The 21,196-nt window shown below is 39.5% G+C and overlaps 1 protein-coding gene across 2 annotated transcripts in view; it reads right to left on the bottom strand.

The window, feature by feature from the left end:
• The window catches only part of HPGDS (hematopoietic prostaglandin D synthase), a 44,302-nt gene that overhangs the window by 18,003 nt on the left and 5,103 nt on the right, over positions 1 to 21,196 (bottom strand). Inside the window, exons 2-3 of one of the 2 annotated variants that reach the window (NM_014485.3) lie at positions 17,960 to 18,101; positions 1,336 to 1,428 (exon numbers count right to left, since the gene is read on the bottom strand). In NM_014485.3, the coding sequence (NP_055300.1) occupies positions 1,336 to 1,428; positions 17,960 to 18,092 (226 nt within the window). In that variant the 5' untranslated portion in view covers positions 18,093 to 18,101. The remainder of the gene's footprint in view (positions 1 to 1,335; positions 1,429 to 17,959; positions 18,102 to 21,196) is intronic. The other variant, XM_005262932.4, reaches the window with a different exon arrangement.

Genomic DNA, 21,196 nt, shown 5'->3' on the forward strand with positions numbered 1-21,196 from the left:
ACCTACAATTGCATAAGAAAAAAAGTCCATATTCTAGATCCTTCTAGATCTTTCTAATCAGATCCAATCTATCCTTCTAAGCATTTCTCTAATTCTCTTCCACCTGCAAATTTGAAGTTCATTCTTCTTCTCATGCCATTTTCTCTCTGCTTAGAATGTTCTAGCCCAGAGATTCTCAAAGTGAGATCCATGGACCACCTGCATCATCTGGGAAATTGTTGAGAATGCAAATTCTTGGGACCCACCCAAGGTCTACTGACTCAAAGTTGCACAAAGTATATTTTAGTGAGCATCCAGGTGACCCTGATGCACATAAAGTTTGAAAAGCACTGCCCAGGTCCAAGTCTTCCTCTTGAAATTCTAGCTATCTTTGAGCCTAAACCTAAATGTCATTTTCACTTTAAAGCCTAATTTCCCTGGTCATAAATAATTTCCATTTCTTCTAAACTTTCAAAGTAACTTTATTTGTTGAAACATGTTAGTGTAACACAAAACTTTGTATTTTTAAAATACACTATTTCATTCCAAAATGAGGTTTAGTATTCATGGCCCATTTTATTTGTGAGCTATGTATGTGTCTATGGCTTGGATCATAGCAGTGGCAATGGTGGTGGGGAGATAGGTTTCAGAGAATGGTGATTCTACAGATTGATTGAAAGAAACGAGCTTTAAAAGAAGCCAAAAGTAGCTTTTGGCTCAAAAAGGGTGTGAGAATAGTTTGAGGGAAGAGAGAAGACAATGGAGCATAGGATGGGAGAAAGTGTGTCAGGTAAAAACAAGAACAGTTTCTATTGTTTCTCTTCCAATACCATGGGTGTGGGCACTAATGCAACAATCCGGAAGCCAAGTATCCCCTTCAAGTTTCCTCAGATGGCACTGAGTGGAAGCAAAGAAACTCCCTATTTTTTTCAGCATGATTAGGATGAAGGACATTACTGAGTATATAATTTTAAGTCTAAGAAATTTCAACCTCCATATGCCATATGTATTTTCTGCTAAGTAATTTTCTCTAATAACTTACCATATGCAAACTAGCCAAAGTTTGGAATGAAACATCCCTGTCCAATTTTTCAGCTAAACTCCAAAAAGGGCTTGGAGAGCAAACAGATGTAAGGCAGGAAAAGCAGGAGGCGATATAAAATAAAATTGTCTAATTGTCCAGGGAACTCATGGAAAGTTAAACTGATACAGGTGGTATATTTATACTTTTCTCTTATTTAATTCCATTCTTATTTGTACTATAGTATGCTATGCTAAAGTCATTTAATGAATATTGAATATATATCATGTATTTGTTTCAGTTATCAAAAATCTTAAGCACAATAAACATGTTACCTGTGTTTTTGGTCAAATATCTTGCTATTGCTAGGCTCTGGTGAAGAGTAAGTCCATCAACTTCCAAAATGGGGATTTTTCCAAATGGGAGAGCTTAAAATGAAATGAGCAAATAATTAACTTCATAACAAAACCAGAAGTTATATTACTTCCATTTTTACTGATCATCGTGAAAACAAAGCATGATTTTATGGAATCATGAAATTCTTAAATATTTTTAAAGGAACACTTGACAACTTGTAGTGGAATATTTATATTTTATAAGTTTTGTTTAAGTTGTTAGAAAACCTGATTTAAAATTAGTGACAGAATTTGTTCTTAAGCTCAGGTTTATAGTGACACCATATACTGTACTGTATTTTACATGCTTACTGTTAAAAAAAATTAATTGTAAAACTTCATTATTTTTTGCAGCCTCAATTGCAGATTATTAAAATCGTAGTCTGAGGATTATGAAGAGTTTGATTTACATATTGAGTTATGGTAAGAACTTAGCCATAGCCTTTTTAAAATTAATACATAATAATTGCACATACTATGGGGTACATGGTATATGCACACAATGTAATGATCAAGAAATTTTTTATTTCTTATTTAATTTCTTCATTGACCTAGTGATCATTCAGGACCATGTTGTTTAATTTCCATATATTTGTATAGTTTCCAAAGGTCTTTTTATATTGATTTCTAGTTTTATTCCACTGTGGTCTGAGAAAATACTTGATATAATTTTCATTTTTAAAAATTGATTTAAAAAAATTTATTGAGATGTGTTTTGTGGCTTAACATATGGCCCATCCTGTGTGCTGCTAAGAAGAATGTGCAGTCTGTAGCTTATGGATTAAAAAAATTTTTTTTGAGGTGGAGTCTCGGTCTGTCACTGAGGCTGGAGTGCAGTGGTGCGATCTCAGCTCACTGCAACTTCCACCTCCCAGGTTCAAGTAATTCTCCTGCCTCAGCCTCCTGAGTAGCCAGGACTACAGGTTTGTGCCACCACACCCAGATAAGTTTTGTATTTTTAGTAGAGATGGGGTTTTGCTATGTTGGCCAGGCCGGTCTTGAATTCCTGACCTCAAGTGATCCACCTACCTCAGCCTCCCAAAGTGCTAGGATTACAGGCATGAGCAACCACGCCTGGCCTATGGATGAAATGTTCTGTAAATGTCTGTTAGGTCCATTTGGTCTCTAGCGCAGATTCAGCCCAATGTTTCTTTGTTGGTTTTCTGGCTAGATTATCTGTCCAGTGCTGACAGGGAAGTGTTGACATCTCCAACTCTTGTTACATTAGAATCTATCTCTAACTTCAGTTCTAACAATATTTGCTTCATATATTTGGGTGCACATATATTTACAATTGTTATATCTTCTTGCTGAATTGACCACTTTATTATTATATAATGACTTTTTCTCTTTTTACATTTTTTACTTAAAGTCTATTTTGTCTGCTATAAACATTGCTGCTCCTGCATGCTTTTGGTTCCTGTTTTTATGGAATATTTTTTTCCATTCCTTCATTTTTAGTCTATGTGTGTCTTTTCAGGTGAACAGAGTTAATTGTAGGCAGCAGATAGTTGGCTTGTATTTTGTTTTTGATTCAGCCACTTTGTATCTTTTTAATTGGGGAATTTAAATCATTTGTATTCATTGATAGATAAAGGCTTATTTATCTTTGTGATTTAGTGGTTATCTATAGTAATAACTTTTGATTTTTTCTCTTTCTCATTTATGTATCTGCTCTACCAGTTAGTTTTATACTTTCATGTGTTTTCATGATGGTAGATATCATCCTTTCACTTCCAGATGTAGGGCTTCCTTAAGCATTTCTTGTAGGAACAGTCTATTGGTGATACATTTCCTCAGTTTTTGCTTGTGTGAGAAAGACTATTTCTCCCTCATTTTTGTATTATACTTTAAGTTCTAGGGTACATGTGCACAATGTGCAGGTTTGTTACATAGGTATACATGTGCCATGTTGGTGTGCTGCACCCATTAACTCATCATTTACATTAGGTATATCTCCTAATACTATCCCTCCCCTCTACCCCCACCCTGCAACAGGCCCCAGTGTGTGATGTTCCCCATCCTGTGTCCAAGTGTTCTCATTGTTCAGTTCCCACCTATGAGTGAGAACATGCAGTGTTTGGTTTTCTGTCCTTGAGATAGTTTGCTCAGAATGATGGTTTCCAGCTTCATCCATGTCCCTACAAAGGACATGAACTCATCCTTTTTTATGGCTGCATAGTATTCCATGGTATATATGTACTACATTTTCTTAATCCTGTCTAACACTGATGGACATTTGGGTTGGTTCCAAGTCTTTACTATTGTTAATAGTGCTGCAATAAACATACATGTGCATGTGTCTTTATGGGAGCATGATTTATAATCCTTTGGGTATATGCCCAGTAATGGGATCACTGGGTCAAATGGTATTTCTATATCTAGATCCTTGAGGAATCACCACACTGTCTTCCACAATGGTTGAACTAGTTTACAGTCCCACCAACAGTGTAAAAGTGTTCCTATTTCTCCACACCCTCTCCAGCACCTGTTGTTTCCTGACTTTTTAATGATCGCCATTCTAACTGGTGTGAGATGGTATCTCACCATGGTTTTGATTTGCATTTCTGTGATGACCAGTGATGACGAGCATTTTTTCATGTGTCTGTTGACTGCATAAATGTCTTTTTTTGAGAAGTGTCTGTTCATATCCTTCGCCCACTTTTTGATGGGGTTGTTTGATTTTTTCTTGTAAATTTGTTTAAGTTCTTTGTAGATTCTGGATATTAGCCATTTGTCAGATGGATAGATTGCAAAATTTTTCTCCCATTCTGCAGGTTGCCTGTTCACTCTAATGGTAGTTTCTTTTACTGTGCAGAAGCTCCTTAGTTTAATTAGATCCCATTTGTCAATTTTGGCTTTTGTTGCCATTGCTTTTGGTGTTTTAGTCATGAAGTCCTTGCCCATGCCTATGTCCTGAATGGTATTGCCTAGGTTTTCTTCTAGGGTTTTTATGGTTTTAGGTCTGACATTGAAGTCTTTAATCCATCTTGAATGAATTTTTGTATAAGGTGTAAGGAAGGGATCCAGTTTCAGCTTTCTCCATATGGCTAGCCAGTTTTCCCAGCACCATTTATTAAATAGGGAATCCTTCCCCCATTTCTTGTTTTTGTCAGGTTTGTCAAAGATCAGATGGTTGTAGATGTGTGGTATTATTTCTGAGGCCTCTGTTCTGTTCCATTGGTCTATATCTCTGTTTTGGTACCAGTACCATGCTGTTTTGGTTACTGTAGGCTTGTAGTATAGTTTGAAGTCAGGTAGCATGATGTCTCCAGCTTTGTTCTTTTTGCTTAGGATTGACTTGGCAATGCAGGCTCTTTTTTGGTTCCATATGAACTTTAAAGTAGTTTTTTCCAATTCTGTGAAGAAAGTCACTTGTAGGTGGCTGGGGATGGCATTGAATCTATAAATTACCTTGGGCAGTATGGCCATTTTCACGATATTGATTCTTCCTACCCATGAGCATGGAATGTTCTTCCATTTGTTTGTATCCTCTTTTATTTTGTTGAGCAGTGGTTTGTAGTTCTCCTTGAAGAGGTCCTTCACATCCCTTTTAAGTTGGATTCCTAGGTATTTTATTCTCTTTGAAGCAATTGTGAATGGGAGTTAATTCATGATTTGGCTCTCTGTTTGTCTGTTATTGGTGTATAGCAATGCTTGTGATTTTTGTACATTGATTTTGTATCCTGAGACTTTGTTGAAGTTGCTTATCAGCTTAAGGAGATTTTGGGCTGAGATGATGGGGTTTTCTAAATATACAATCATGTCATCTGAAAACAGGGACAATTTGACTTCCTCTCTTCCTAATTGAATAACCTTTATTTCTTTCTCTTGCCTGATTGCTCTTGTCAGAACTTCCAACACTATGTTGAATAGGAGTGGTGTGAGAGGGCATCCCTGTCTTGTGCCAGTTTTCAAAGGGAATGCTTCCAGTTTTTGCCCATTCAGTATGATATTGGCTGTGGGTTTGTCATAAATAGCTCTTATTATTTTGAGATACATCCCATCAATACCTAATTTATTGAGAGTTTTTAGCATGAAGGGCTGTTGAATTTTGTTGAAGGCCTTTTCTGCATCTATTGAGACGATCATGTGGTTTTTGTCTTTGGTTCTGTTAAGGTGATGGATTACATTTATTGATTTGCATATGTTGAACGAGCTTTGCATCCCAGGAATGAAGCCAGCTTGATCTTGGTGGATAAGGTTTTTGATGTGTTGCTGGATTCGGTTTGCCAGTATTTTATTGAGGATTTTCCCATCGATGTTCATCAGGGATATTGGTCTAAAATTCTCTTTTTTTTGTGTCTCTGCCAGGCTTTGGTATCAGGGTGATGCTGGCCTCATAAAATGAGTTAGGGAGGACTCCCTCTTTTTCTATTGATTGGAATAGTTTCAGAAGGAATGGTACCAGCTCCTCCTTGTATCTCTGGTAGAATTCAGCTGTGAATCCACCTGGTCCTGGACTTTTTTTGGTTGGTAGGCTATTAATTATTGCCTCAATTTCAGATCCTGTTATTGGTCTATTCAGGGATTCAACTTCTTCCTGGTTTATTTTGGGGAAGGTGTATGTGTCCAGCAATTTATCCAGTTCTTCTAGATTTTCTAGTTTATTTGTGTAGAGGTGTTTATAGTATTCTCTGATGGTAGTTTGTATTTCTGTGGGATCGGTGGTGATATCCCCTTTATCATTTTTCATTGCATCTATTTGATTCTTCTCTCTTTTCTTCTTTATTAGTCTTGCTAGCAGTCTATCAATTTTGTTGATCTTTTCAAAAAATAAGCTCCTGGGTTCGCTGATTTTTTGAAGGGTTTTTTGTATCTCTGTCTCCTTCAGTTCTGTTCTGATCTTACTTATTTCTTGCCTTCTGCTAGCTTTTGAATGTGTTTGCTCTTGCTTCTCTAGTTCTCTTAATTGGGATGTTAGGGTGTCAATTTCAGATCTTTTCTGCTTTCTCTTGTGGGCATTTAGTGCTATAAATTTCCCTGTACACACTGCTTTAAATGTATCCCAGAGATTCTGGTACATTGTGTCTTTGTTCTCATTGGTTTCAAAGAATATGTTTATTTCTGCCTTCATTTCGTTATGTACCCAGTAGTCATTCAGGAGCAGGTTGTTCAGTTTCCATGTATTTGTGTGGTTTTGAGTGAGTTTCTTAATCCTGAGTTCTAGTTTGATTGCACTGTGGTCTGAGAGACAGTTTGTTGTGATTTCTGTTCTTTTACATTTGCTGAGGAGTGCTTTACTTCCAACTATGTGGTCAATTTTGGAATAAGTGTGGTGTGGTGCTGAGAAGAATGTATATTCTGTTGATTTGGGGTGGAGAGTTCTGTAGTTGTCTGTTAGGTCTGCTTGTGCAGAGCTGGCTTTAAGTCCTGGACATCATTGTTAACCTTCTTTCTCATTGATCTGTCTAATATTGACATTGAGGTGTTAAAGTCTCCCATTATTATTGTGTGGGAGCCTAAGTCTCTTTGTAGGTCTCTAAGGACTTGGTTTATGAATCTGGATGCTCCTCTACCAGGTGCATATATATTTAGGATAGTTAGCTCTTCTTGTTGAATTGATCCCTTTACCATTATGTAATGGCCTTCTTTATCTCTTTTGATTTAAGTTGGTTTAAAGTCTGTTTTATCAGAGAGTAGGATTGCAACCCCTCCTTTTTTTTTGTTTTCCATTTGCTTGGTAGATCTTCCTCCATCCCTTTATTTTGAGCCTATGTGTGTCTCTGCACTTGAGATGGGTCTCCTGAATACAGCACACTGATGGGTCTTGAGTCTTTATCCAGTTTGCCAGTCTGTGTCTTTTAATTGGAGCATTTAGGCCATTTACATTTAAGGTTAATATTGTTATGTGTGAATTTGATCCAGTCATTATATTAGCTGGTTATTTTGCCCATTAGTTGATGCAGTTTCTTCCTTGCATTGATGGTCTTTACAATTTGGCATGTTTTTGCAGGGGCTGGTACCGGTTGTTTCTTTCCATGTTTAGTGCTTCCTTCAGGAGCTCTTGTAAGCAGACCTGGTATTGACAAAATCTCTCAGCATTTGCTTCTCTGTGAAGGATTTTATTTCTCCTTCACTTATGAAGCTTAGTTTGGCAGGATATGAAATTCTGGGTTGAAAATTGTTTTATTTAAGCATGTTGAATATTGGCCCCCACTCTCTTCTGGCTTGTAGAGTTTCTGCTGAGAGATCAGCTGTTAGTCTGATGGGCTTCCCTTTGTGGGTAACCTGACCTTTCTCTCTGGTTGCCCTTAACATTTTTTCCTTCATTTCAACCTTGGTGAATCTGACGATTACATGTCTTGGAGTTGTTCTTCTCAAGGAATGTCTTTGTGGTGTTCTCTGTATTTCCTGAATTTGCATGTTGGCCTGTCTTGCTAGGTTGGGGAAGTTCTCCTGGATAATATACTGGAGTGTTTTCCAGCTTGGTTCCATTCTCCCCATCATGTTTAGGTATACCAATCAAATGTAGATCTGGTCTTTTCACATAGTCGCATGTTTCTTGGAGACTTTGTTCATTTCTTTTTACTCTTTTCTCTCTAAACTTCTCTTCTCACTTCATTTCATTAATTTGATCTTCAATCACTGATACCCTTTCTTCCACTTGATCAAATCGGCTACTGAAGCTTGTGCACGCATCATGATGTTCTCATCCCATGGTTTTCAGCTCCATCAAGTCATTTAAGGTCTTCTCTACACTGTTTATTCTAATTAACCATTCGTCTAATCTTTTTTCAAGGTTTCAGCTTCCTTGTGATGGGTTCAAACATCCTCCTTTAGCTCAGAGAAGTTTGTTACTACCGACCTTCTGAAGCCTACTTATGTCAACTCGTCAAAGTCATTCTCCATCCAGCTTGTTCCATTGCTCGCAAGGAGCTGCGATCCTTTGGACAAGAAGGGGTGTTCTGATTTTTAGAATTTTCAGCTTTTCTGCTCTGGTTTCTCCCCATCTTTGTTGTTTTATCTACCTTTGGTCTTTGATGATGGTGACCTACAGATTGGGTTTTGGTGTGGATGTCCTTTTTGTTGATGTTGATGCTATTCCTTTCTGTTTGTTAGTTTTCCTTCTAACAGTCAGGTCCCTCAGCTGCAGGTCTGCTGGAGTTTGCTGGAGGTCCACTCCAGACCCTGTTTGCCATTATATCACCAGCGGAGGCTGCAGAACAGCAAATATTGCAGAACAGCAAATACTGCTGCCTGATCCTTCCTCTGGAAGCTTCATCTCAGAGGGACACCCAGCTGTATGAGGTGTCAGTCAGCCCCTACTGGGAGCTATCTCCCAGTTAGGCTACTCGGGGGTCAGGGACCCAGTTGAGGAGGCACTCTGTCCATTCTCAGAACTCAAACACCATGCTGGGAGAACCACTGCTCTCTTCAGAGCTGTCAGACAGGGACGTTTAAGTCTGCAGAAGTTTCTGCTGCCTTTTGTTCAGCTATGCACTGCCCCCAGAGGTGGAGTCTACAGAGGCAGGTAGGCCTTCTTGAGCTGCAGTAGGCTCCACCCAGTTCAAGCTTCCCAGCCGCTTTGTTTACCTACTCAAGCCTCAGCCATGGCAGACACCCCTCCCCCAGCTAGGCTGCCGCCTTGCAGTTCGATCTCAAACTGCTGCACAAGCAGTGAGCAAGGCTCCGTGGGCATGGGACCCACTGAGCCAGGCGTGGGATATAATCTCCTGTTGTGCCATTTGCTAAGACCATTGGAAAAATGCAGTATTTGGGTGGCAGTGTCCCAATTTTCCAGATACAGTCTGTCATGGCTTCCTTTGGCTAGGAAAGGGAAATCCCTCAACCCCCTGTGCTTCCTGGGTGAGGCAATACCCCACACTGCTTCAGCTTGCCCTCCGTGGGCTGCACCCACTGACCAACCTGTCCCAGTGAGATGAACCAGGTACCTCAGTTGGAAATGCAGAAATCACCCATCTTCTGCATCAGTCACGCTGGGAGCTGCAGACTGGAGCTGTTCCTATTCAGCCATCTTGGAAAAGATCTCTCCTTCATTTTTGAAGGATAGCTTTGCTGGTTATAGTATTCTTGGCTGACAGGTTTTTTTTTTTTTTCAGCACTTTGAACATATCATTCCATTGTCTCCTGGCCTCTAAAATTTCTGCTGAGAAATCTGCTGTCAGTCTGATGGGGATTCCTTTATGTATGACTTGACACTTTTCTGTCACTATTTTTGGAATTCTCTTTGTCCTTGAGGACAAAGTCAAACTTGACAACTTGACAAGCTTGACAGTTTGACTTTAATGTTTAATGACTTTAATGTTGAATCTATACCTGAGCTTCATGTATCTGGATGTCTGAATCTCTTGCTAGACTTGGGAAGTTTTAACTATCATTTTGTTAATTGGTTTTCTATGCCTTTGTCCATCTCTTCTCCTTCTGGAATTCCCAAAATCCCCAAATTCAAACATTTGGGTGCTTTATGGTTTCCCAAATGATGTAATACAGGCTTTCTTCATCCTTTTTTCATTCTTTTATTTTTTTCTTTGGTCTGACTGGGTTATTTCAAAAGACCTGTCTTCAAGTTCAGAAATTCTTCGCTTGACCTAGTCTATTGAAGCTCTAGTTGTATTTTTTAAATTTCATTCATTGAATTCTTTAGCTCCAGAATTGTTTGGATTTTTTTTATAATATCTATCTGTTATATTGAATTTCTCATTCAGATCATTGTCTTCCTGATTTCTTTGTATTATCTGTATTCTTTTGTATCTCACTGAGTTTCTTTAATACCATTATTGTCAATTCTTTTTCAGGCATTTCATGTATTTCCTTTTTTATGGAATTGGTTACTGGAGAATTATTGGGTTCCTTTGGAGATGTCTTGTTTCCTTGCTTTTTCATATTTCTTGTGTCTTTATGTTGATTTCTGTGTATCTGGTATAGTAGTCGCTCCTTTCAGTTTTATGGATTGATTTTTGTAGGGAAACCCTTTTTCCTATAGATATATCTATAGTGTTGGTTGGGTAGGGTACTTTAGCTTTGATTCTAAGTAGGTGCAATAATGTAGTCTTCATATGATTTCTTCAGCTATAGTCAGCATCAGTGGTGTCTGTGAGTTTCTCAGTGGCTTAGGCTGTAGTTATTAGTGAGGCTGTGGTGAGTCTTTGCTGGGGAGGGGGATGCCAAGTGGACTCATCCTCAGGCACTAGTGGTGGCTACAGTGGCCTGGGTGTGTGGATTCCTAGGCCCCTGAATGGGATGCACTGGTACCAGCAGTGCTGGGTAAGGCAGATCCAGCCCCCCAGACAATGCTTGTGAGTCCCAATGACAGTGGCAAGCAGAAAAGGTGACCTCAGGCCCCTGGATGATGTGCACAAGCACTGGTGGTGGCTGGTGGAGTAGGTTGATCCTCAGGCCACTGGACAATGCATTCAGGAATTGGCAGCAGCAGTGACAGGCAAGATAGGCTTGTTCTCAGGTCTCCTGAGAGTGCATGTTTGCACCAGTGGCAGCAGGCAGGGCACGTTGATCCCCAGACCCCTGGATAATGTGCTTGGGTGCCAGTGGCAGTGGTAGTGGGTGGGGTGGGCTGGTCCTCAGGCATGCAGATGGTGCACATAAATGCTAGTGGTGATAAGTGTGGCAGTACTATCCTCAGGTCCTGGAATGGCATATTGGTGAGCTGGTCCCCGGGCTTCATAAAGGTGCATGAAGGTACATTGTGGCCCTGATACTAGAGAAGGTATGGTTGCTGTCTGTGGCAACAGCCCCAGGCAGGCAGCTCTCAGACTCTGGAGAGTGCGTGCTTTAGCTTCCTGTGTTACAGCAGCAGCCTGTCTGGTATGCTACACTGTCTCTTCCCCAAGGTTTGGGACACTACATGGGCTAAAGGGCTAGGCACCCAGCCACAACACTTAAGTGAAGCCAGCATTGCAATGCTGCAGCCCTCTGGGTTGTTGTGGGGGGATGTCAGAAGGGCTCCAGGGATGTGGAGATGCACGGGCTTTTGGGTTCCAAGGCAAGATATAGTCTGGTGGGGACTGGGCTCTCCAAGTGGCACCATGATGCAGCTACTTGGGTCTCAGGGGGTGTGTAGGACACAGCACAAACTTCCACTCTGGAACAATGTTCTCACATGGACTCCAGGCACTCCCTATCCTAGTCTCAGGGCCCATAAGGCCCAAGGGGGCTCTCCCATGGCTAGAATTGCAGGAGTCTGCGGAGTAAATGTGGACCACTGGGGATATCTCTCTTACCTTTTCCCCACAATGGGGAGTCCCTCCCGGCTCCAAGCTGATTCCAGCCACATCAGCTGCTTCGCTTCCTTTTCTTTCTGTGCCTCAGAGGTTTCCCATCACTTCCCAGCTGAATTCCAGTCTTCTCTCTTAGATGCTCTATTAGATGTGTGGTTATCTACTTGCTATTTTGATCCTTCTTTGAGGAGATGAGTGTCAGTTACCTCTAGTCATTAATTTTGAAGCCCCACTTCATTTTGATGAGGGACTATTTGAAATGTATAGCAAGGCAGCAAGCATTTTTGCACAAATATCGGACAGACTGATAGCAGATACCATATTAATATTTTATCTGTAAATCCTACTGTTTTCTTATCTAAACCTATTATATTTTTGTCACAAAGTAATATACATTTATTATAGAAAAATTATAAACTGATAAATGAAAATAATTCAGCCACATAGTTTTAACCATTTTAATATTTTAATTGATTTCTCATATATATTTTAAAACAAATTATAATGCATGTAAATCACTTTTCATTTCAAGTTTTGTAAATCACTTTTCATTTCACAGTATCTTTTAAACATCTTTCTAAATCAATGAAACATCATCTTTTTAATGACTACGTAATACTTTGCCATGTGTATTGACCACAACTTTCCCAACCAGTGCCTTAGTTTTGGACATAAAATTATTTTAAAAGAGAGAAAATAATAAAGTGCCAGTCACACTCTGATGACCCTCATACAACTACTAGAATCAACTTTGTGTGTCTCCTTCAAGTATCTTTCATATGCACACCTAAATAAGTATATGAGAACTATACTTCACATCTGGAATAAAAATACCTTTAAGTACTTACCTTTAAGTAATGAGTGTCCCAACTACTATTTTTGGTGCCTGAGATACTTCAGTGAGCAAAACAAAGTCTCAAATGAAATTGACATGAGTTGGGATGCCTTATTTGAAGCAAAATATGTGAACAAGAAGGAATCAAAATGCGTAATTTTTTTGTCAGGGAGAGGTTTTTTTTTGTGCTAGGCATTGTACTAAATATTTAGCATGCCCATTAGGTCTTCTTTTACCTACAACAACCTTATGAAGTAGGTGATAACTATCTCATTTTATAAATGAAGGGATGAAGTTAAGAGGTTATATAAATTGCCCTGGTCACACACCTGGTAAAGGTAGGCTTCACACTGAGGTCACTTGGAACCCTTGCTCAGCTGTTTTCTTAGTTCTATGAGCCATGTTTTGAGAAAGATATTAAAAATCAGAGCAAGCTCAGAGAATAGTCTCCAAATTAGTGAGAGATTTGAAAATCTTATTTTTTTGAGGATTGGTTGAAGAACCTTGGCACTCTTCACCTGGAGGAGATAAAACTAGCTAAGTGGAACATAACCACCTCAAATAGGACAGAACTATCAAATAGAAGAAAAATTTGACTTATTCTGAGTACCTCTGAAATGTGAAACTAGAATCAAAGGGTAGTAGAATAAAGGGCAGATGAAGAATAATTTTGTTCGCATTAGAGCCATTGACAACAGAATGTGTTTTCTTGTGAGATAGTGAGCTTTTAGCTACTGGAAGTGTTTGAGCCAACCTTGGGATAACTGCCCACAACTGGAACACTGGGCTGCATCTAACAAGAAGACATTTAAGAAGGCAAATGCTAAGTCCTTCATTTGATTCCAGAAAAAATAATAATCCCAGTGTTGTTGGAGGTGTCAACAGAAGTATTCTAAAGCTTAAAAGGCATTAAGGAATTTTGTTACACTGAATATGAGGCCTCAATGTGATGTGGCTGGCAAAATAACTACAGTGATCTTGGTAAAATGTCTTACAATGATGTCTAGTCTTGTGACAGGAATGATGGTCCCATTTTGCTCTGTGCTGTTCTTGTACCTTAAACACTGTGTTCTCCATAGGTATCACACCTTAAATGGCAGATGTACAGTAACAGGAACTTGTTTGGAGGATACCTACGTGAGTGGTGAAGAAATGCAAATCAGGGAATATAAATGAGCACTCAAGGAAGAAAACTTAATTGTCCTTTGGACCTGGGTGTGATTGTAAAATTGTAAATCACAGATGGTCCAGGGAAGAATGGCATCTAAATCAAGAAGTAGAGTCAGGGATGGGAAAGTTGGACTAAAATTCACAATGATGATCAGAGAAACTAACAAGGAAGTTCCAAAATTTGTTAACTAGTTAGAGGTACAGATGCATGAATTAAATGGGACCCAATTACAAATTCTGCCAAAGACCTTTATCTTCACTCAGCACATTTGTATTGAACTAACCACTCAGAAATAGCTTTTTTTTCCATGACGTCTTTAAAGAAACTAGGTTTCTTTAAATATTTGGTTGTAAAAGAAGGAGTAATCTGGTTCTCCATGGATTAAAATTATTAAGTACAAGACCAATCTATGAAAGCTATAAGGAGACAGATCTCAACTTTGTATAAGGAATAGTCTTTCAAAATTAGTCTCCCTTCTATTTTCTGTTCTCTCTTTCCAGAATTTTATTTGAAAGTTGGACCTCCTAAACTGAGCCTCAAGTTTCCTTTCTTTCTTCTTTTATTTTTCATTTATTTGTCCTATTTTTGTACTTTTGGGAAAAATATCCTTATTTTTGTCATTTTATTGATGTGTTTGTATCATAGTTTTAATTTTCAAGAACTGTTTGTCTCTGAATATTTCTTTTGACAGCACCCTGTTGTTAAAAGAAAAACTTCAGCCGAATTAAATTTAAAGGAGTTTAACTGAGCAATGAACGATTTGCCAATTGGGAAGTCCCCAGAATCACAGCAGAATCACAGAGCCTCCAGGGGAGGCCTCATGATCAGAACAAATTTATAGACAAAAAAAGTAAAGTGACACACAAAAATCAGAAGTGAGGTACAGAAACAACCAGATTGGTTACAGCCCAGAGTTTGCCTTATTTGAACACAGTTTGAACACTCAGCAGTATATGAGTGGTTGAAGTGTGGCTGCTGGGATTGGCCAAGACTCAGCTCTTCTTATAGGTGCATATTCCTAAGTTAGGTTTTAATCTTGTCTACTTACTAAGTTAGGTTACAGTTCATCTACAGGGACTCAAATATAGTAGTACAGAGTCCTTCTCAGGCCATATTTAGTTTGCTATTACAGTGTTCTTGTTTCATGGATAGAATATCTTCTCTTATTTCTCTGAGGATTTTAAAAAATGTTTGAAGTGGTATTTTTTTCTCGCTAAATCATCTTGGTTTCCTCAGAGTTGCTTTTTTTCTGCTTCTTTGTTTAGGTATGTTTTCTGTTAGATTTTTCTCAAATATCTATTGATTTTTGATTGCCATTTATGTCTTAAAAGGCAAAGAAATAAAAACTACCTGTAAGCTCAGTGTGCATGGGAGGGGCTTGCCAACAGATTGGGCTGGGCTGTTTCATTAAGAAACTCTCGATCGTTCATTAACTTGAGCTGATCAGCTTCCCCAGAGAGGAATTTCTGCTCAAGGAATATTAGCCTGGTTGTAGCCTTCTGATTGTAGAGCAGGGGAAAGGTGCTATGGATCTCACCATTTAGTTTCTATACTTCCACTGAATCCCACCTTTATTATAGCATTGTGTCCTCAAGACATGTCTGTTGTCCCAGAAGCCTCTGGTCTATCCTCCCCTGAGAGTAACCTCCATGCTTATTCTAGGGACGAGAAGGGATATGGTGGTCACAGTGCTTCTTCACATTGATAGAGGCAGGAGGCAGAGAAATTCTAGGCAGACAGCAGCAGGTCCCCAGTGAAACCCCACCTTCAAGCCAAAAAGCCTGAAACCTGCGGCCCAACATAAGAAAATCTATTCCTGTTTGCCTGCTGTCTCCTGATTGGTTCTTTCTGAATAATGCTTTTTTACCAATTGAATGTTGCCTTTTCCAAAACTACCTATAGCCCACCCTGCCCCACAATCGTGTGCCTATAAATACTTCAGACTCAGTTGGTAGAGGAAAGAAAAGCGGCCCAGCTGGAGAGAGTTGACTTGACTTTAGAGAGATGGCTGGACTTCGGAGGAGAGATGACTTGACTTCAGGGGAAGACTACCTGCCCACCCTGTCCTCTCTCCAGCTCCCCTCTCTGCTGAGAGCCATTTCCACCACTTAATAAAATGTTCTGCCTTCACCATCTTTCAAGTGTCTGGACAACGTAGTTCTTCGGACGCTGGACAACAGCTTGGGACCCACTAAGTGCAGGGACCCACCAAGTACAGGGAACCAAAAAAGGCTGTCGCACTGGCCTTTTGCCCTTGCTGGTGGGGGGCAGCCACCCCATGTGATGAGGCAAGAGGCCCACTGAGCTGATAACACACCGCTGTCCATGGATGGCAGGGCTAAGAGAGCATTGTAACATGCCTCTGGGGCTTCAGGGGTCGCAGGCACCCCAACCTGGGTGCTGCTGCAGGGCCCACACAGAGCTTGCTCCTGCCAGCGCCCAAAGCGGTCAGCTGGATCCCATGCTTGCTTGCTCACGTGCTCCCTCCCACAAGGGATTGAGTGCAGTGGGCCAAGTAAATGGGGCACCCCATCACAAGTCCGACAAAGGGGTCAAGAAAAATTCTCCATCAACATTTTTCTAGTCAATCCTATGTCAGCTCAACTTTTCGAGTTATCTGCTACTACAAATTCATGAGCCTTTTTCTGTATCTCTGGTGATTTAGCTTGCCTTCTGCTCCTCAAGGTTTATGTTTGAACTCTGGGCCTACTAAGTCACTTTACCATGCTTTGGCCTGCTTTTTAGCTTCCAGAATTGTGTGCTATCATATCTACATTCAAGCTTTATTTCTTTGTCCTTATGGACTTTGGCCCTTTTTTAAAGTACTTCAGTGTTATTAAAGGAGAGAAAAAACGTTTTAAAGGGAGAAAATGTAAACTCATATGTGCAATTTACCAAGTTTGTCCAGGAGAACATTTTAATAAAAGTATCCAGTGATGGAATGTGTTGACTGGAGATTTTCTAGGTTCTAGCAGAGGGAGTGTCGTAGCAGGTTTCAAGCACCAGAGAGCACTGCTAAACTGGACAGCAGATGAGACCAAATAACATTTGTAATAGAAACTGCTCCTTAGTAGTACCTGTTCTTTCCTTTCTTCTTAGAGTAATAAAACTCTGGATTTTTACCTGTGCAAATGATTATCCACAATTAAATCAGCATCTCTCAATTTTCCTTGTAGTAATATGTGACCGTTGGGCTTACCAAGTGACGTATGCAACTTTCTAGTAAAAGGAAGGGGTGTGTCCCCTCCCTCTTTCACACTTTCTCTGAGCTACAATGTGGAAGGAATGTGAGCTATCTCACACTGTGTCAATAAGACACCAAGGGGTGGCAGATCAACAAGAAACCTAATCTTTGACAACTGTATGGAGCAAAATCATGATACCCACTTGGGGTTTTGTGTAAATGAAATTTCTGTCCTTTCTAAGAAAATTTTACATTGCGTCTTTGTCTATTAAAACATTTGAAACTATATCCTAACCATCATGAACTTTAAGATTCCTTTCAACTCTGAAAATCTATGGAAATATTAAGAAAATACAGAAATTCCATTTTTAGTAACAATGAAAAGTTCAGGTAGAATAGGGAATGAGGCACTCAGTGAACTTATATTTCAAAGCTAACAGGCAAAATTTATTACATGTAATATCTGCACCTTTCTATCCATGTTGGTCTAATTAATTAGTGGATAAAAGTAATGTTCACCTATTATATATTCACTGTCTTAAAATCCCATGTGTAAATTCCAATATCGGAAGAAACATTTGGATATTAATGGTAAAGTATCATGAGAATAAGAAATAAGATACACTATCTCACCAGAGAAGAGGTCTCTGCTAAGAAAAAGAATGGTTATAAGGGCAATGACTTTTAAGGAGCTCATGCTTCCAAAGGCTGTGGCAATTCATTGTTAATATGCCTGTTATCATAGTAGTGTTGTTTTGGCATTGTCTAGTGCAAATAGCTTGAGCCTGGTATTAAACTGACCTGGGTTTGAAACTCAGTTCTACTTGCTAGGGTCGTGAAACTGGAAAAATTACCTAAACTCTGTGCACTTCAGCTATCCCAGTGACAAAATAGAAAAACAAACAAACAAACAATGTCGCATGTTTATTTCAGCTCATATTGTCTGCTAAAGCTTTATACTGGTTTACCTTTATATTCTCTTTCTGTAAGTTTTGTGTTTTCACCTCTAATAGGAAATTTGCTTGATCACACAGCATTTATTTAGTCTGAACTGCTGCTTTTCAATTTAAAGCTACATGAGCTTCGAAAACCTTGATTTTTTTTTCATTTCCCTGAGGAAAAACAAAAGGTTCTGAAAGCATATTTTTCCTACATTTATTATTTTTGCTACTTACTTGATTTGATTTCAGGCCAGTCAGCTTGTTCTATTCTGTGGTCTTCATACTGTATGTCCAAATAAGCAAATATGTAACGAATAATTTCTGCTCTCCCCCTCATATTAAAATAAGTGAGTTTGTAGTTTGGCATGGTGCAATTCTGGAAAAAGAAAAAGGGAGGGATTATTTTAAGAGCCCTCTAGAGATGCCTCAATATTTTTCTTCAGAATTTTTTGGAAAACTTTATGGCATCTCTTGAGATTACTGGAGACATTAGAGGATATTTCAAAACCAAAATTATAAATCACTATCTAATTACATACGGGGAAACTTGGTTGAAATCAGATCATGACTCTCTCTTGGCACTACTTAGAACATTACAGTGAAATAACCAAATTCAAACTTTATTTATAAAAATATTCAGATTAAGAGGGTAACTACACCCCAACCTTCAGAGCATGGAGCAAAAAAAACTTCCCACTTTAAGATGATTTTACCCTCCTTTTAGTCACTGGTAATGTGTAATATTTGATATTTTGCCTGTTTTGTTTGCCCTTGTGACACAGCTCAGAGTTTATGAGGACATCTGGGTAAGGACAGCCAAGGGCTGGGCACATGCAAGAGGAATGTGAGTGCCATGCCAACCTGTCTTTGCCTCTCTTTCCTCACCTGTGGCTTTCCCTCTAGGCATCCAAGGCCTAGGGAAACACTGCTCTCTGGTTCCCTCTGACTACATCCACGCTACTGGGTTTTACTGGGTTACCTGCACCACAAAACACACCCCATCTCCAGACCTCTGCAGAGATGGGGCAATCTTCCTTCATTCCCTCTGTAGAGGAAGAAAGCCAAGTACTCTTACATTTCAAAACGTTTGCTAATACCGACGAATTCAGTCATTATAATTTTATGGGTTTTCAGTGATTTGTATCTTTTCATTTTCATTGTTTATAAATGGTTAATGACTTTAAGCACTCGTAGTGGAATATATTTTAATTTCGTAAGATCAAACAACTGAGAAAGAAATGTTTTCATTTGAAATTCAATTCTTTGAATTTGGGCTTTGGCCAGTTAAAATCTCCCTGAATTTCAAAGACCACTTTTTATAAATAGTGATATTAACATGGATTTGTAAATTAATGAGGTAATACATATAAGGTACGTAGCACAATGGCAAACTTAATCATTAGCATCAGTAATAATGACTTTGATCTCATTCTGTAGTCAAGAATAAACACTATGAATACAGCACACTAAAGATAAATAATAATTATGGTAACTAAATGAATAAAAGCATATAATGATGATTATTTATTTAAAGTGGTGAGTTTAAATAGTTTATTCACTACTAAGAAAGTTTTTAAAGAATATTAATGGAATACTAATTAGATAAAAGGGAAAGTTGGGCTCAAGCCTCAAAACAAAGTTTCATCAAAAATCACATCACAGACCAGGCACGGTGGCTCATGCCTGTAATCCCAGAACTTTGGGAGGCCAAGGCAGGCGGATCACCTGAAGCCAGGAGTTCGAGACCAGCCTGGCCAACATGGTGAAACCCCATCTCTACTAAAAATACAAAAATTAGCCAGGTGTGGTGGTGCGCGCCTGTAATCCCAGCTATTCAGGAGGCTGAGGCAGGAGAATCGCTTGAACCCCAGAGGTGGAGGTTGCAGTGACCCAAGATCACGCCACTGCACTCCAGACTGGGCAGCAGAGTGAGACGCCGTCTCAAAAAAAAAAAAAAAAGAAAGAAAGAAATCACACCACATAAAAGGTTAAACACGAATCATAAAAATCTAGCTTGCCAAGTCTTGACTTTAAGTTTATATATTCCTGGAGTCTAGTGGGAAGAGGATGACCTGGAAATAACTGGTTGCCTATCTAGAAGCTCCCAGGTTCAGGAAGTGACGGTGATGGTAATTCCTAGCAAAACCATTTTTTCTGGCCCTGGCTTCTGTGTCCAGATGTTGTGGAGTGAAGCTGGTGCTCCTTGCTAAAACGAGAGAGCTACTGCCAATCATTCCTGCCCAGTTTGCATCAGCCAGTCCAGTCCCCACCCAACTGAGATGTAGCATTCACCGCATATATAGATATGTGGGGAAATGTCCTTGAAAGAGACAAGAATTGACTAAATAAATAAGAATTCCATGATTTACAGCCATAAATTTCTTTCAGGGAGAACTATACATATAAAGGAGTTCAAATTTGGGAGACTAAATGAAATGCCCATCAGAACAATGGAACTGTTTTCCAGGTTACTTAGAAATGTTGAGCTTAGAAATAAATAGTGGAAAAGGTCTAAGAGCACGAAAATAGTAAATAAAAAACATAATAATTAAGAGATTATTCTTATCCAGGAAAAGCATGATAGTTATAATTCCTGGACGTATTTGTTTTAAATATCAAAACAATTTTTAAAAGCCTACAGAGTGGAAAAAGTTTGATTATTAGTTGTGGTTTCTATTTGGTGTTTCGTTTTGTTTCGTTTTGTTTCGTTTTGTTTTGTTGCAGCACAGTCTCACTCTGTCCCCCAGTCTGGAGTGCAGTGGCTCAATCTGGGCTCACTGCAACCTCCGCCTCCTGGATTCAAGCAATTCTCCTGCCTCAGCCTCCTGAGTAGCTGGGATTACAGGCATGCACCATCATGCCTGGCTAATTTTTCTATTTCTAGTAGAGATGGGGTTTCACTTATGTTGGCCAGACTGGTCTCAGATTGGTCTCCCAACCTCAGGTAATCCACCCCCCTTGGCCTCCCAAAGTGCTGGGATTACAGGCGTGAGCCACTGTGCCCAGCCTGCAGCTTCTATTTGAAAAGCATTCTATATAAAACTTTTTATTGGTTTTGTTGGCATAGTCAATGTTTCCACAGCATGAAGAAATTATATTTTCTCCCTTTAATATTAAAAGTTATTAGCATTACGTGGGGCACCATGGCTCACGCCTGTAATCCTAGCACTTTGGGAGGCCAATGCAGGCAGATCACAAGGTCAGGAGTTTGAGACCAGCTTGGCCAACATGGTGAAACCCCGTCTCTACCAAAAATACAAAAATTAGCTGGGGGTGGTGGCGGGCGCCTGTAATCCCAGCTACTCAGGAGGCTGAGGCAGAAAAATCACTGAAACCCAGGAGGCAGAGGTTGCAGTGAGCCAAGATCCTGCCATTGCACTCCAGCCTGGGGGACAGGGCAAGACTCCATCTCGAAAAAAGAAAAAAAAGTTAACAGCATTAAAAGTTAAACATACAACCTTTTCTCATTCA

The sequence above is a fragment of the Homo sapiens genome, chromosome 4 (genome assembly GCF_000001405.40).
Source record: "Homo sapiens chromosome 4, GRCh38.p14 Primary Assembly".
NCBI classification, from domain to species: Eukaryota; Metazoa; Chordata; class Mammalia; order Primates; family Hominidae; genus Homo; species Homo sapiens.